The sequence below is a fragment of the Homo sapiens genome, chromosome 5, assembly GCF_000001405.40.
Source record: "Homo sapiens chromosome 5, GRCh38.p14 Primary Assembly".
NCBI classification, from domain to species: domain Eukaryota; kingdom Metazoa; phylum Chordata; class Mammalia; order Primates; family Hominidae; genus Homo; species Homo sapiens.
The window spans coordinates 51,573,113-51,592,181 of NC_000005.10; the positions used below are offsets into that span (position 1 = coordinate 51,573,113).

At 33.3% G+C, this 19,069-nt stretch overlaps 1 annotated feature.

Moving 5' to 3' along the window:
- Positions 871-1,493: an enhancer, noted in NCBI's record as "NANOG hESC enhancer chr5:50869817-50870439 (GRCh37/hg19 assembly coordinates)". NCBI's record gives its function as "activates a minimal SCP1, AML or CMV promoter by ChIP-STARR-seq in naive H9 embryonic stem cells {active_cell/tissue: H9 hESC(naive)}" and the evidence as "EXISTENCE:reporter gene assay evidence [ECO:0000049][PMID:30033119]".

Below are 19,069 nucleotides of genomic sequence, written 5' to 3' on the forward strand. Positions count from 1 at the left end.
TATGTATATCATAGATGTGTGTATGTGTGTGCTGCAAAACTAAAATGAAAAGCAAGGATATCATAATTACAAATGTTAGAAGACTGATTAATTCTAGGGAGATGAAGAAAGAACTGCCCCAAGTTTGTTATGTGGTTTTTATACAGTTTCCCCTTTGTCTCTTTGTAGTGTCCTGCTCAAGAACTACAAGGGCGTAGGTTGATGTATAAATTCAGTTATGTAGCACCACAAGACCAAAGAGATAAAATTATTTTGTCAATCAAATGGTGGAGCTGATTTCAAGACAGTTCCAAGACAGCTGATTCCAAGGCAATTAATTCCTTTTAATTTAAGTGAACTTAAGCAACCCAAAAGTATTATGACAAGCAGAAGATTGGAGATGTGTATACAAGTGGCACATGCTCTCATAATACATTTGTTGGATTAATTTTTCTTAATGCCTTTTCTAAGATTTCTGGAAAGAATTCTCAGTGTCAGAAGTATCTTAGATTGCTATTACTTTTAGGTTTAATATAATACATTGTAAGCAAGTACAATATAAATATAGATTACTTTATCTTACTAATAATTTAGTTTTTCTTCACTGCCAAGTCATACATCATATTTGTGGTGCTTAGACATTTCTTCTTTGATTTTTATCTGATTAAAAATGTTTTCAGCAAAAAGCATCTTTCAAGTATTGTAGAGGTATATCTAAGCAAGAATATAAAATTAAAACTGCTAATTAAACACTTGGTATTTAATACTACTAGCTGTGACACAATGTAATTTACAGCTTCATAATTCTCCTTGATGGAATACAATCTTTCTTGAAAAAGATCATACTATATTAAACAGAGTTCTCATACTGTCACGCTCTTATTGTATTACAGAAAGCACTAATCCTTAGGCCATTCGTCTGACTCCCTGTTCCTAAAGTAATCCGTGTTGGGTCTTTGGTTGCTCTCTTGAGAGTTTGCTGTTTTTTGAGATTAGTCTTATTGTGCAAAGAGACCTTAGTTTTACGCTGAGATCAGTCTTATTGTGCAAAGAGATCTTAATTTTATGCAAAAGGTGTCTTAGTTCCAGATGTTGAATAAGAGTTTTATTATTTTTCACTAAACGGTGCCAACCAGGTGCTTGTAAATATTCATGCTCATTACTTCTTTTTCTTTCAGTGTCCTCTAATGGAGGACAATCAGTGAGAGATAAGTGACTTTTGCTGCCTTTAGAAATTTAAATAGGAGGTAGAAGAATAGGAATAAGAAAGAGTAAGAGAGGACAGAAAGAAAGAAGACTTAGATAAACTTCATTTCATTATTGACCCAATTGTCACAGAAATTTCAGAGTTAAGTATATTCTATATTTGTTTATAATCATCATGAAATAATATGTGTACATGAGGGCACTCAGCTCTTTGGATCAGGATTGAATATTTCTGATAAAAATAAATCCTTTTGGGGAAAAGAGTCAATGGAAATTTGAAAGAATTTGATCAAAGAAAATGCCTATGAATGTAGCTTTAAAATGTTTGAATGAATGTAGTCATTGCTATAAATATGATTCTTATAGGTATTCCTATAGACAATATTCTTGGAAGCTGATCTACATTGGTTGGGTTAAAAGCTAGGTGTAAATAGAGAAAGCCAGTTATTAAAAATAGCAATATTCGGTTATTTACATGAGTAATCCAAAATTAAATGGGATTTAGTCCAGAGATGCAATGATGGACATTTGAAAAGCAATTCAGGATGATAAAAAATTAGGCTAATATAATAATTTTATTTTACATGTGATTTATTTTATATTATGTTATATTAATGAACAATTTCATACTGATGAGCTAGTGTATTCTTTTCTTACTACTACATTTCAGGTAGGCATCTCAAAATTAGTATAGCCTCTCCTTTAGAGAAGATGATAATCAATAGCTACTAATTATTTCTATTTCTGGTATAAAATACTTTAATTAAAATATATGTTATTAAAATATTACAACTTTGAGCACTGAAATTTTCCTCTCTTTGCACTTAGATGTCAATTTGCTCCTGTTAGACCCAAGTTGGTGGTAGACATGACCTTATATCATAATCTCTGTTTCCTATTCTCCAAAAATTAATGTCTAGAATTAAAAGACTATCAACAAATCTCAACTGACACAGAAAAACCAGACAGCAACAACAAAAAAGAAAACTATAGACTAATGAAGATAAACAGAAAAATATTCAACAAAATACCAGCAAACTGAATCCAACAGCACATCAAAAAGATAATACATAAAATTAAATGAGATTTCGTCCAGGAATGCAATGATGGTTCAACATATGCAAATCAAAAAACATCATAGATTGTATCAACAGAATAAAAGACAAAAATCATATGATCATCTCAATAGACAAAGAAAAAGCTTTTGATAAAGTCCAACAACGCTTCATGATAAAAACTCTCAACAAACTAGGCACAGAAGGAATATACCTAAACATAATAAAAGCCATATATGACAAAACCACAGGTAACATCATACTGAATGAAAAAAAGCCAACAGTCTTTGTTCTAAGAACTGGAACAAGACAAGGATGCCCAATTTTGCCATTCCTATTGAATATAATGCTGTAAGTCCTAGCCAGAGCAATCAGGCAAAAGAAAGAAATATAAGGCATCCAAATTAGAAAAGAAGTCAATTGTCTCTCTTTGCAGATGACATGATCTTATATTTAGAAAAACCTAAAGACTCCATCAAAACAACTCTTAGACATCATGAACAAATCCAGTAAAGTTGCAGGATACATAACTAACATGAAAAAAATCAGTTGTGTTTCTATACATCAGTAAGAAAATAGCCAAAAAAGAAATCAATAAGGCAATCTCATTGACAATAGCTACAAAAAATACTGAAATACCTAGGAATAAATTTAACCAAGGAGGTGAAAGACCTCTGAAATGAAAACTACAAAACACTGAAGAAAGAAATTGAAAAGGACACCAACACATGGAAAGACATCTCATGCTCATGTATCAGAAAAATTAATACTGTTAAAATGACCATACCACTACCCCAAACAATTTACAGATTGAATGCAATCTCTATCAAAATATCAACATCATGTTTCACAGCAGCAGAAAAAAAAAGTCTTAAAACTGGTATGGAACCAGTAAAAGCCGAAATAGCCAAAGCAATACTGAGCAAAAAAAGCAAAGCTGGAGGCATCACATTACTTGACTTCAAAATATATTACCAAGCTATAGTAACCAAAACAGAATGGTGTTGGTATAAAAACAGACACATAGACCAGTGGAACAGAATAGAGGACCCAAAATAAATCCACATATTTATAGACAACTGATTTTCAGCAAAGTTGCCAAGAAAATACATTGTTCTAGACACCTCTTAATTACATGGCACAAGGAAAAGTGGATATCCATCTGCAGAAGAATGAAACCAGGCCCATATTGGTCACCATATATAAAAATTAACTCAAAATGGATTGAAGACCTAAATGTAAGACCAAAATTACAAAACCATTAAAAGAAAACATGGGGGAAACATTAAAGGACATTAGTCTAGGCAAAGGTTTTACATCTAACACCTCAAAAGTGTAGGCAATGAAACAAAAAATAGACAAATGGAACAATATTAAACTAAAAAGCTTCTGTACAGCAAAGGAAATAATCAGTAGAATGAAGAGACAACCTGTTGAATGGGAGAAAATATTTGCAAATTATTTATCCAATAAGAAATTAATATCCAAAATATATAAGGAATTCAGCTCAACAGCAAAACAACAACAAACTCCCCCTGCCCCCACCAAACAAAACCACAAAACCTAATAATCCAATTAAAAAGCAGACAAGGCCGGGCAAGGTGGCTCATGCCTGTAATCCCAGCACTTTGGGAGGCCGAGGTGGGTGGATCACAAGGTCAGGAGTTCAAGACCAGCCTGGCCAACATGGTGAAACCCCATGTCTACTAAAGAAATACAAAATTTAGCTGGGCATGGTGGCGTGTGCCTGTAATCCCAGCTACTTGGGACGCTGAGGTGGGAGAATTGCTTGAACCTGGGAGGTGGAGGTTGCAGTGAGCTGAGCCACTGCACTCCAGCCTGGGCAACACAGCAAGACTCTGTCTCAAAAAAAAAAATGTAGACAAAATGTGTGAATGGACATTTCTTTTAAAAAAAGGCATACAAATGACCAACAGGTATATGAAAAAATATTCTGTTCCATTTTCATGTCACTAATTATCAGGGAAAATGCAAATCAAAACCACAGTGAAATATCATTTTACCCTAGTTAGAATGCCTATTACTAAAAAGACAATAAAATGACAGCTGTTGGTGAGGATGTGGAGAAGAGGTAACTCTTATACACCTTTGTCAGGAATGTAAATTAGTAAAGCCTTTATGGAAAACAGTATGGAGGGTTCTCAAAAGGTTAAAAATAGAACTATTGTATGATCCAGCAGTCCCAATATTTGGTATTTATACAAAAGAAAGGAAACCATTATATCAAAGGGATGCCTGCACCCCTACATTTACTCCAGCACTATTGACAATAGCAAAGATGGAATCAACCTAAGTGTCCATCAATGAATGAATAGATAAAGAAAATCTGGTATACATACACAAAGGAATACTACTCAGCCATAAAAAATAATGAAATCCTACCATTTGCAGCAACGTGAATGGAACTGGATGTCATTATGTTAAGTGAAATATGTCAGGCACAGAAAGACAAATTTGGCATGTTCTCACTCCTATGTGGGAGCTAAAAGAGTTCATCTCATAGAGGTTGAGAGTAGAATGATAGATACTAGAAACTGGGAAGATTCTTTGGGGGGATGAAGAGAGGTTGATTAATGGGTGCAAACATACAGTTAGAATAAGTTCCAATGTTCAAACAGAGTAGGTGACTATTTTTAACAACAATGTGTTGTACATTTCAAAGTAGCTGGAAGAGAGGACTTGAAATGTTTCTAACACATAAAAATGATAAATACTTGAGGTGATGCACACCCTAAATACACTGACTTTGATCATTACATATTGTATGAATGTAATAAAATTACACATGTACCCCATAGAAACATACAAATATTATATAACGATAAAATATTTTTAAAATAGTCATAGTGGCTTATCTCATTTATTCTATAATGTAACAAATATTTATTCAGAAAATTTTATGTGCCAAATATTGCCATGGTCATCCGAAACAAAAATGAAGAAGACATCATCCGTGTCTTCAGGGAGCTTTTACTCTAATATAACAGGTTAGAGAAGGGTAAGAATTAGATAAATTAATCAGGGTATACTGAAATGTAAATTGGTGGTCGTCTAGGAGAAGATGAAGACAGTGATGGGTTGAGATCAAGAGGAAATACTTGAACTGGTCTCTATATTTTACTTTTATTTAAAATATAAGAAATAACTTAGCCTTTTCAGTATTTAATGTGTTGACTGCCTCTGGTGTCTTCTCTGCGTAACTCTCTATGAGATGGCTTATTATGCTGGCTGTTGACTAGGGAAGGGTGGGTCTTCCACAAACCAAGCGGGTTTGGAAAAGTCACCCGCCCTTGTTAGAGTAAAACTTACTGCAATCTACTACAATGTATAGAAAGCTAAGTAAGTGCATGGGTAGATTATATACATACTTTTTAAACTAGCACATCATGTACAAGGGGCTTAAATAGATGTTTGCAATAAAACTGAAGATTAAAGACATTATGACAAAGCAAGTACAAGGCAAAAATCCACAGGATAGCAGACTGACACTTCTTCTCAGCCACATTATGGATTTACTTAGGACCTAACTGGAGTGATAAGAAGTCAGGGAAAAAAATGAAATTATCAAGATAGCTTGAAATTAGATTTGCCACCACTAATGTTAATAACGAACCTTGGCCTCAATGTATACACTTGTAAATACACTGATATTAAAAATTCATCAGGGTTAACAAGTCATGAGCTACTTATTAATCTCCTATTTATCTCATATTTAAACATTTCTAATTATGTATATATTACAATACACTTAACATATGAGTAGAATATTACATTTATATAATTCAAAAACATTTTATTGTAGTGTGTTTGATTTTAAAGTTTTGAAATATTTCTCCAAAATCATTAGAGGCCCCATGCTAAGATGTAGAAACAGAGAGCAAAGGTTAAGTGAGACAGGGTAAATCTTTAAAAGTAGAAGTGACCATATTTATTACATGATTGAACTTGGGGATGAGAGACTAGGAAGAATAAGATGAGATGGAGGTCTTGGAATGTTTGGAGAAGAGGTGTTTAAATATATATACATATTAAACAAGGAAAAAGAGTGCATAAGAGTTGAGGATTTATAGCAATGCCCATCTTAAAATGTGTTCTCTAGAACACTATGTTCCATAAGATGTTAAGCTATCCCCCCTTCAAAACAGTCACCCTATGATTAAATAAATTATAGAAAATATGGGTAAAAGAAAAGTTTTGTTGATTTTGATTTTGTAAAACTTCTGCTCATTCCCATTGTAAAGACACAAGGGTAGGAAATAGTGTGCAAAATTTTACTTGACCATCGACCAAGTGATAGAATTTCTCTCTATATATACTATCTTCATCTCTATCTCTATCTATAGATATATACATAGCTATAGAGATAGGTATGTATATGTATATATATAGAGAGAGATAGATATTTGGATGTAGCTATAAATACACACACACACACACACACACACACACACAGAGAGAGAGAGAAATAGCTAGATAGCCAGATATAACTATCTGGCTATTTCTCGATTTCTCTCTCTCTCTCTCTATATATATATATGTGTGTGAGTGTGTGTGTGTGTGTGTGTGTGTGTGTGTGTATTTATAGCTACATCCAAATATCTATAGATATGTATATACATATATATATCAAAGAAAGGCAGAGAGATAGAGAGAAAGAAAGGATGCCTTGGTTCATGGCCAAGTAGACTTCTGTATGCTATTTTCCAGTATTAAGTCTTTACCAATGGTAGTGAGTAGAGATCTTGCAAAATCAAAATAAACGAAACTGTTATTTTACCTATGTTTTCTATAATATAGATATAGGTATCTATATATTTCTAGATATATAGATACATTGATATACTATATATGTATGAATATATACACACATTTCAATAATTATACATTATATATATATTTGTAATCTTGAATACCTATTAATCCCTTATGGGAAAGAGGGTTCTATGAACGACAGTTTGTTGTATTCAAACCAGTGTTTTTGGCAGGCAGTTCGGAAGTATGTCTGGGGATATTCAAAGTCAGTGAGGAGTGTGGACTGAATTGCCAGGAAAAGAAGTATAAACATTGAAACCTCTGAAAACAAAACTGTAAACAAATTTATGCAGGGACTAAGAGGAGCAGTGAGAGATACTGAAGAATCGGAATAGAAGGGTGCACTGGTGTCACACAGGAGAGAGACAGGCTAGTCAACTCTGTTTATACCATGGGAGGTAAGAGGGGAACATATTGAACAGACGCTCTTGAATTTGGTAATGAGGATGCTAATGCTGATCCACAAGTGAGCACTTTTGAACAAATGATGAAAACAAGAGACCAGGCAGCAAATGGTGGATTTGTAGTTAGAAAGAAGAGACAGTGGCCAGGTGCAGTGGCTCATGCCTGTAATCTTAGCACTTTAGGAGGATAGGGCCGGCAGATCGCTAGAGCCCAGAAGTTCCAGATCAGCCTGGGCAACATGTGGAAACCCTGTCTCTACTAAATAAGTAAATAAATAAATAAACAAACAAGCATCGCTGGGTGTGGTGGCCCACGCCTGCAGTCTCAGCTCCTTGGAAGGATGAGGCATAAAGATCACTTGAGCCCAGGAATTCAAGGCTGCAGTGAGCCAAGATCACGCCATTGCACACTGCACTCCAGCCTCGGTGACAGAGTGAGACCCTGTCTCAAAAAAAATAAAATAAATAAAATAAAATAAGAAACAAAGAAAGAAGGAAAAAGCAGCAAATTACAACTATTTTCTCAGTGGAATTACACTCTGAAGGATGATGGTAAATAAGAGTAGGGAAGTTGTGAGCATTATTGCAAATGTAGGAGAATGAACCAGGGAAGTAGAGGAGATGAAAGGAGACAGAGAGGCAGATGGAAGAGGAAAGTGGAGGGTCCAGGAAGAAGGAGAGCCATTCTGCTGACAAAGGAAGCAACAAATACAGGCCAAAGTGTTTTAGTATAGTTTCATTTCTCTTTTTGTGGCATAGAAATTCATAAATGTTTAATTTCACAGGTAAGGTAGCACCTACTGTAGAATTTCTTATCACTAATATGGAATACGAAGCATAATATTTTATTTAAAGTTTTCTTTTCACCATTTATTAATTTTAGTAATTGAATTCCACATCTATGTATTGAGCAATGAGATTTATACAATGACCAATTATATCTTCATCTTTATTAAGCCTGTAATCTAGAATACAGTTCAAAAGGAAAACATGGCAAGATAATTGTCCTTTTGTCTAGACATTAGGGGTTAAGCCCCTGACCTGTATATATTCCTCATTCTGCAACTTTGTAGTTCTGTAAGTGAAAAATTAATGCATTTGGTATTGATGTTTTAGAATTATGATCAATATTTTAATATCTTCTAAGTAGAAAAAATATTAACACAGGGCTTGATTTCATACCTTTCCTAAAAGCCACTAATATATTTATTAAAATTAATCTATTTAGATTAAAAACTGATGAACATTTGATTTCTTGGGGGTTTGACTGAGTTTTTCTCAGACATACTTTCACAAGGATATGTTTAGATAATTGTCTAAGAATTGATGTTTTAAGTATTTTGATGAAATGATGGACTATTGTTGGTAATAATGAATGCTTTATAAAGTGTCTCTGCAACAACCACTAATTAGCTTCATTATAGCCCACAGCTAATTCTTGTGAATAACTTATGTAAATGATGAAACTCTATTAGTTTTTCTGAATTTCCTGACAATGAGACTTTGAGAGTAATAAGTGTGGCAAATTTCTGACAGCAGGTACATTTCTTTGTTGCATTCTGAGAAAGAAATAATCCAAGTACTAGAATGTATTTAGCTGTGGAGGTTTTTCCTTTTCCAAAAGCTTTGAAAGTATAAGCTGAGAAAAGCAGGCTAGAAAAAGAGTCATTTGATTTGCATCTTAAGAACAAAGAAATAAATGAAAATGTGACTATTGTCTTTATCTCCACTGTTATTGTGTGCAGTATCCTTCTGTAATCTTTTCTTGTAATGAGACTTAATAGCTGCTTTTGAGATATTAATGGAAATTGTCACAGACAAGGGAGATATTATGGCATCTAATGAACTAAAGTAAGACTAAAAGGAAAAGAAAAGGAATAATAAGTAAAATTGACACAAATAAAAAGAATTTAACTAGTTTCTAAAATTTAACCCCATAGATGACTCTGCCATGAAATAAATCTAAGGATGAAAATGCATTACTATACATTTTCTAAAATATAATTTGTTAAACACAATTAGCAATTTTTTTGTTATTTTGTATTTAAGTTTTGTTTAAAAACCCCTTGACTTCCATTTTATGCAATATCTATATTAAAAAAAATTTCATCTGACTTAAAGGGCAAGTCAGATCACTGGGTTTGTTACAGCAAACAAAAGTACAGATTCCAAGCATTCAAATAAAATAGTGGGTAAGAATATAGAGAACAATGTAGTGATATAGTTGATTTTAACTATATATTGAGCACTTGGGAAAATTTGAAGTTTAAATCAGTTTATTTAATAGGAACTATTGACTCTGACTCTTTCAGTGCTTACCTTTGGGTAAAACTGAAATTCACAAAAGTTGATGCTTAGGTAAGATAATTTCATAAATGTACACACTTGCCCTTGTTTCTTGAAAGCTGAGTGGTGAATGGCTGCCATTTAAGCGGGAGTGTATTCCCATCTAATTAAATGAAGGATGTACAATTGAGCTGTCAGGTAAAGAATTATGAGGTTAAGACATAAGTTATGATGGCAACCAGACTCCTTTTTTTTTTTTTTCTTTTTTAGGGCATTCCCTAAGGAACGAATTGTAAATAACGCCATCCAAATTCCTGAGAACAAGATGCATGCCAGGTTTCTGCCAGGATAACAGTTGATGCCTAATTGAGCCTGGGATTGTTAAAATGTCTCCTTTTTATAGTCCTGAATAATGTAGAGCTAATGAACAGATTCCATTTTAGATCTGAAAGCATCAGCTCTCTAGCAAAGGTTTTTCTGTGTGTGTGATTTGGCTTACTAAAAAAATACATAAGTAAAAATAAAAATATAGAGACTCTTCTCAGCACAACCTCTGTCTTCATATAGATGCTAAATTTTTCATTAAAATTATGTGTAAATTGCTATAGCACATATACAGCTATTCTAATACGAACTGAATGATGAATTGATTGGTCTTGAAAACTGCATTCCATTTTAATCATATATTTTGGTTCAGGAGTGAAAAAAACTGAATCCTTGTCTATTGTTGCCTTCTTTTTTCTCTGACTTTCAGACATGTAGAACATTCCCGAAATTTTTAGACAGTTAATGCTTATCCCATGCTTAAGAAGAAATACTTATTTTTTTCTTTTCAATTGTGGATATTACAAACAGAGATTAGTGGCCTCTCACTTCAGAGCTGTCAGTATTGAAGTGGCATGAGCTATTAACATTCTATTGTAAGTGGTCAGAAGCTTCCTTTGGCATTCCTGTCAAAAGGCCACTAAAACCACCATTTTATGCTGTTTTCACTAAGATAATCCATTGCTATCCATTTTGATTGGTTGGTGCCATTTAATATGCCATATTTACTAATAATCCTATGCAACTACTGAATCTTTTCTACTAAAGAAAGAAATAAAAGGTAAGTCTTAAATCAGGCTATACTCACATGAATGCTCTGATTTGATTTGCACAGAAATATTTTATTCCAGGAAAAATGAAATTAAATGCAATAAATAATTTTAAACTATCTTTGATTAGTTAAATAGGACTAAATGTACACTCTTTCCCTTTTTTCTTGAAAGCTGAGTGGTGAGTGGTCAGGTATTAGACCAACTAACAAAAATAGAAGGTAATTCATGTAATCACAAGGACAGTTATACAGAACACCAAGTAGGCTGCCCAAAGGCCAGAATCTATCATTTTCTGGCTCTATCACTCCTCTAACTGGTATGCCCAGTACAGACTTTATAATAGGCCAAAACTGGCCCTTGTTTAAAGGAAAGAATAAAATAACGATACGTATTTGTAAGAGGGATATATGCATATTCTTGGTCTTCTTGTTCAGTTAATTTATAAGGTATCACATATTTTTTTCTCAAATTTTCCAAATCTTAATCTAGGCTAGGAATCAAAAGATAGGATGAATTTTTATATTTTGAATATACATCTGTCCCATGACTTCAGTCTCATGAACAATACACAATGTATTGTCTCACACATTAATTAATCTATTTATTAATGATTTTTGTGCCTGTATTATGATAGGCATGGCACTAGGCATTGGAGCTAGAACAATGAATAATTAGGAAAAGAATTCTACCCTATAGGAAATTCACTGCAGAGAGAGGAAATACAAAATAGAGTGTGTCCGACAAGCACAAGTGCTATGAAGAAAAATCAACTGGGAGCAGAGGACAAGAAGGGCCCCACGGGAGCAGGGCAGTGGTTTTGGAATTTTAAACCTCATGTGACCTAAAGAATCAAAGCTGAGAATTTCTATTTAGGATTTGCTCATATTTGATCACACTCTTTATTTGCCTGAGGTTGATGTTTACATATGAAAAATTTCTGGTGCTATTAGATAAGTCAAATTTAATACGTTTTTCTTCACTTTTCTTTTAGGCTTTTATATGTGTTAATTATTAAAGTTATGATCAAGATCTCTCACGTTTGCATCTTGCTAACATAGTGATGTGAGTTAGCAAAAAGTATAATCTCCTTCAGGGAGGACTTTTGAAAACAGGTAAACAAAAATCTGAATTTCATGTAGATTTAGTCCTCTCTTGAGTCTCATTGATCCCTAAATCTTCTTTGATTCTGTTAGTCTAGGATGCATTCCAACTTCCAGGGAGAGAGAGAGAGAGAGAGAGACAGAGAGGATGTTATTTTGATTATTGTGGCTATATTCTTTTAAATATTTGAATTCTAATTAAAAATATAACTCTTAATAAAACTTTCTATTTGGTACTGTGTTCACTGCAAGCAACTCTGATGAACTAGATCCCATTTTTAAATTAGTTTTATTGTGACCAGAAAAGGCTGGTTTTGTGGACTTTGAGGAGCCAGACTAATTGTGACCCAGTTAGAGCAGGATGGCTTTGCTTTTATTAAATGGTGTCTGAGGTGAATGTCAGACAGCATACATCAACCTCTGTCCTCCTTCTGGCTTCCATGGGAGTTGTATGAGTATATAGAGTATGAATTTGGCCGTACAAATCTAATAGACAGTGGAATAACCCAGATCACTATTTTAGAGTCCAGTGACTGTTTTTTAAAAAATTAATTAATCTCTTTGACAGATTCCATGTCCTTTTCTTGTGATGTGCAAGTGACTTTCCCTTGAGGAATAATCTTCTAGCAATTCCCAAACACAGTTTTGTCTGTCAAAACATTAGCCTTCCTAATAAGGTACATATTTAAAGATTTTTATCTTTAAAAACTCATTTCATTGCTGATGTGTACTACTTATTAATTTATATCTTTTGAATTTTAAAATCTAAAATTATTTAATTCACAAAAATTTCAATTTATTTTAACTTATACTAGAAACATTTATTTTATTGTTAAATAAGATTTTGAAACAATTATCAAACTTTTTAGACTTTATAAATCTGTTATTCTCCTTCCATCTTCAGAGGAATAAATTGTTATATAAAATAAATTTCCTTCTAATCATAGCTAATTATATACAAAAAGTTATACAGTAATAAGAAAATATGGTGCTGAGATTAGGAACACCATAGTTACATTTAGCTCATGTTTCTGTTCATTTCTACTAACAGCCAATTTCTAATTACCGACAATTTATAAATAGCTTTATATAACATATGTAGCTACTCTACTATACTGTTGAAGAAAAATAAAAAAGTTTATTTGTAATAAAAAATAGACTGTTCAAATATTTAATTGCATCTCTAACAGTGATTGTTCAGACACATTCACCTCTATCCTCATATCAAATACAAATAAAAATGATCACATAATTTTTTTAGAATCCTTGGAAAATTAAACTAATTTTATTAATGCTAATGCTTTGGTTTGAATAAAAAATAATCATACATATTAAGGGTATTTTGTTAGATAGATGACTGATTGGTTTATTTTGATAATCTCCTCTCCTTTGGGGTAAATAAAATATATTTTGATATAAAAAGTCAGTGTAGATCTTTTAACAAATTAAGACACTACATTTGTTCATTCTTAGATTCAACAAACATTTTTGGGAATGAGCTTTCTGTTAAGACTGTGGGCTAAAAACATGTATGAAGAGTTTCCTACCTAATGTGAAAGACATGCAATGAAATTCATAATGAAGATATAATGGAATTGTGAATAGTAGAAATGTGTACAACACAGTACAAGAATTTTAAAAATGGAGCAAATTTAATATCTGAGCTATATGCCTTAGAAGATAATTAGAAGTTCACCAGGTAGAAAGCTGACCAAAAGGGTGCATGTGGGAGACATCCCAGATGATGAGGGTAGGAATCAAGGTCCCAAGGAGGGAGTGAGATTAACATATTTATGGGGCACAGAATAGTTTGATGTAATTAAAAGACTCAGGTTTGGGCTAGATCACAAAGAGCTTTTCTTAGTTTATTTACTTTAAAAATATTGGTAGAGAATCCAGGAAGTTTCTCTAGTACTGTGTTCTTCATTATGATTGTCTTGTGTCCTTCAAAATTATACCACTAAATGCAACAACTATTCCAGAGGTTCCCAACATTCAAGCATAGATATTACAGTTCAAAGGAAAAGAGAAACCACTGCTTTTATGTTGGTTGCACTGAACATTCAGAAGTAAAAACATTGTATTCCTTGTTCTCTTATTTTCTTGTATTATATTCAGTATAAATAAAAGATACGTGTAATAATCTAAATCAACTAAATCGTTGGCAAAAGCTATGCAATCAGCATGTGGGGGAGAGCACACAACATGATTCAAATGGATTCAGTAAACACGGATTAAATACCTTGTAAGTGGTGGAAGGCAGAGTACACATATAGGTAAGACACACGCCTTGCCCTTGAGACTTTCATAGTCTTCCAAAGTAGACAAATAAACAGATAATTCAAAAATATTGTGGCAAATTGTAAGAACGGAGCAGCCCATGCAGGATGTCTGGGAACACAGAGCAGGACCTTCCAGGAATTGAGCAAGACGTCTTGGAGGAAGTAGGGCTCAGCTGTCTATAAGAATGAGTAGTGAATATCCTTCAGCAGATAGAGACTAACTAAAAGACAGGATTTCTGTGGTGCTAGCAGGAGCACAAAGAGTTTGTAATTCTTAGCGTATCAAGTGTGAAATAATTGGGTGAGGCTGAAGTTGGAGGTTGATAAAAGTTGAAGCTATGTAGCTGGACAGGGACTGGTGAGGTCAGAAGGGGGCTTATAGCCACCTTCTGGAATTTGGAATTAACACTGCAGGTAATGGAGGCATTACGTGGTTTTCAGTAGGGGCAAGGCATAACTGTATTTGTATTTTAAACTGATGTCTCTGGCTGCATTGTTCTGCTGTCCTTGGGGAGTGATGGTGCAAAGACTCTAGGCTTCAGAACTGCAGAAACAGTGTTTTTCCTATTCACCACTGTCACAATTACCTGCAAAGTGAGCAGGTGCTCAATAGATTTTTGTTGAATAAACGAACACACATTTTGGTAGTTATTGATAAGAGAGAGAGAAGCCTGACCCAGGGGAGTGGTGGTAGAGGGTGGAGAATTGTGGATGGATATAAATACAGGAAAAAGGTCTAGGAATTAAGATGAACAAAATGTGGTGATTGAATCTGACAGGAAAAGAGAAACTTAGATGATTCAGGGCTTGGAAAAAGGAAACATTATTGGTCATGTTAATTTTTATTTAATTCCCTATGGAACACATAAGTGAGCACACATATACTTTTACTTCTAAAGATTCATTTATATTCTTGGCTCTTACACATCCAATAGTAGCAGTATTTCCAAGGAGTCATTGCTTGGTACATTTTTCTGAATATGCATACTATATCTCCAAAGAGATTGTAAAATTTCTATGGACAGAAACTGTGTCTAATACCTCTCTAATCTCTTCACACAGTGCACAGCACAGGTTTTATTAAGCATCTATCAATCAGCTGGCATTTTTATTTCAATTTAAGTCAAAACCTCAAATAGTGGATTTAAAATATATATATAATTTCATTGCAGAGGCAATAATATTTTCACAGAGTTTCTGAAATAATATCTTCATCATCTACCTGATAGGAACAAGACATAATTAAAAGTCTCATATTTTGTTCCTCTTGGTACTTTGGTACCTCAGCCTCAATGATTAGTGGCTTAGATATTGATCACTTTTATAATAAACTTATCTACAAGAATGATGACAGACACAGTCCCCTTTCCCTGTGCTACTCATTCCCGTTCTCACACAAAGATTTTAATTGCAGAACCTAAATGAGCCCTTCCTGTTTATTACTCTGGTTAGTGGTCTCTAGTTTTTCACTGTGACTTGATGATCTCCATTCAGGCCTCTCTGTCTTACTGCAGGATGACATTTTTAAATAAACATGCAATGTATCTTAAAGAGTCTATTAATTTATATAAGTTCATGTGATTACTTAGGCAGAGTTGATATTATAAAAATAGCCATTTTTTCTTAAGAATAATGAGGAGAAAATATAATACAGGAAAAATAGGACTTCATGTCCTATTATGAAGCAGTATATGCTTTCTTATGTAAAGGGCAAACTCTAATTACTTTTTTGCATTGGTAAAGAGAGTCATGCATGTTGATAAGAGAAATTTTAAAGGTGAAAAAAGTTTTTTCACTCATTTTCCTTTTTAAAAATTGTTTAAACTTTCATTAAAATAAAAGTTCAGGGATACATGTGCAAGTTTGTTATATAGGTAAACTCGTGTCACAGGGATATCAATAATTTATATTATAATTTAAAATTATAATATTTATAATTAATAGCTACAAATACCTTGCATTATTTTTGCTAGTAAAAACTAAGTATATTGATGAAAACTTAAAGGAATAAGAGAGCAACGTTAATTACTTGATGTTTAAATTTCATGGTTATTCTAACACCCCAAATTTATTGCTGTAATGGTGAGTAAGGCAGTCTTGTTTTTGCTGGTGTTCATAGGCATACATTCTGATAGAAACAAATTCATATTGAAGGAGAAACTTCCAATGTCACAAAAATCTGTAATAGGTTTTAGTCTCATAAATTAACTAATTCATTGTGTTTAACTTGGGAGAGCAATTTAAACCTACAATATCTTTTTTGACTATTACATAAAACATTAAAAAGTATATATATTTAAATCCTGCTATTAGAGGTTGCTGATGAATAGATAATTCATTAATATAAAATTTATTCTCCACTTACTTCTGAAACAGCTTAAGCTAAATTCAATGGTGGGGGTGAGAAGGATATAAGTCCTAAATATTTTTGAATGTATGAATCAACAAATGAAAAAGGATTTGACATGGCCAATGCATACTCTCATTATACATAAAAGTTTCTATTTATTATAAAAGTTGAAAGCATAAAAATACATCTTCTTAATCTATAGATTTACACAACTATTTGTAAGCTATATATTATTTGTAGTTTTCTCCAAAAATCTGATTGATTCTAGAAAGTTTCCTTCATTGCCTGAAATGCACATTATAGAATAGTTCTTATATTCTATGAAGACTGTAAATAAGAAAAGAACTATAATTTAATACAATAAAGAATAATTCATGTGGAAGCTTAAAATCAGATTCATTCTTTATGTAGCAAGAAGACAGCCAAGTGTATTAAGCATGAGAAGTATCTTTTCAGCCTAGGAAGTTGTGTGGTCATAGAGTCATATATTTCTAATTGTGTAACTTGGCTCTGTGCTCAAGAGAACATCACTTAGATGTCCTTGTCCTAAGAATTTTGATTTTTTAAAAAATATATGAGTCTCCTTTAAAAGCTTTCAGGCATGAGCCTTGAAGTAGTAAATCAAGTTTACCTGAGTATGCATTATAACTGTCTAATCCATGAAAGTGATACTCTATTTGTTTTGTGATATTTGATTCCCTGTTAAATACTTTAAAATGGAAGTTCCTGTCTGGCCATGTGGTGTGAGGGTACTTAATATATAAGAGGATTCACTTGTCATTAACATATTTAAAGGGTCTTAAAATACTTCCTTAGAGTGAAATCATTTTGAAGAGTAGTCTATTCATTGCCCATCTCTAAAAGAGTAAAAGTTAGCAATTATAATGTATTCATAGAGAAGGCATATTTCTCCTCCTCCTATTGACTTCAAGTACAGGAATGCGCTAAAATAGAGTACTCTTCAATGACTCTCATTGAGTCAGGAAAAAATAGTCTTACATACTGAATACGAGATTTTAGGATGCAACACCAACCAGAAGTAATTGCAGTTGACAATCTCATTAGATTTCCTGAAATTCTCCCATTAGGCAGAATACATTCATTCAATATAAATTTCATATATATATATATTATTAAAGGAAAAGGAGTGGTGGCTGAAGTTGTAAGTGAAACCAAGAAAGGATTATTTAATGGAAAAAAATTAACGTATTTGTGGACCGATGAGAAAAATCCAAAAGAAGTGAAAAATTTGAGAGCACAGTCCCTACTATCATGATGGACATGAGAGAGAATAATCTAGCAGCTAAATAATTAAGGATGTACTCTGGTTCTATGATGCAAATAAAACAAGAAGCTGGGTAAGTGAAGGGATGAGGAGGGATTAGTTTTCCTGAGAGGTTTGTAAGCAGAAAGAACCAGTTCTGGAAGTGGAATATTCTAGGCTGAGGAACTAACCAGTGTGAAGACTCTAGGGCAGGAATCAGACTGGTTTTTCATGAAACAATGAAGTTTCTTAAAGGCTAGCGTATGGAATTTGCATTTTGTTCTAATAGCAGTAAAAAGGCATGAGAGTTTTTAAAAGCCGTGTTGATCGGTACGGAGAGAATGGATTTGAGAAGAAGACATGGGTAGAAGCAAGAGAACTACTTAGAAGTGGGTTGTCATAGCACAGATGAAGTTGATGGTGACATGGCTGAGAATGGCCATGGAAAAAGTGAATAAAGATGGAATTTTTATTTTACTTACATGAAAGCTTTTAATTAAACATTTTGGAGTATACTTCACAATAACCTTAGAATCACAATAACTGGCATTTATCGAGCACTTGCTATTTTTGTGAGTATTGTGGTAAGCATTTTATAAGCAATATTTTCTTTATTTTCACATCACTTCTGTGAGATACAGTAATTATCCCAAGATGAGAAAACCGAACTTTAGAGAGGTACTTTCACTTGCTCAAAGGCACACTGCAAACACTTGTTGAAGCTGCTCACTTTGGAGTCCACATTAACAATCACCTCACTATTGCCTTCCCAAGTGACCAAGTTTTATTTTTCCATATCAGCACCACCATCTACATTTCAGGCCTCATGATAATATTATTTATCAGTTCCTGTCGGTGCTTAAAACTCATGACTAATCAAAAGGGGGAAAAGTCTTGCCTTCCTTACCAAAGACTAGATGATTCCTAAAATAAATTAATTACATCAAATGATTATGCAAGTTGCATAGCAGTCAAGAGCCCATATGAACTGGACTGCCTTAATTTGAAGCTCTGCTCTGCCAGTTACTATTTGTATTACCTTAGGTGAATTACTTACCTCAGTTTTCTCATCTGTAATACGGATTTATAGTAGTGATGACCTCATAAGGTTGTTATGAGGATTTAATAAATTAACAACTGTAAAATACTTAGGAGTGTGCATGGCACCTATTAAGAGCTTCCTGTTTATTAAATACACCATCTCTAATCATTG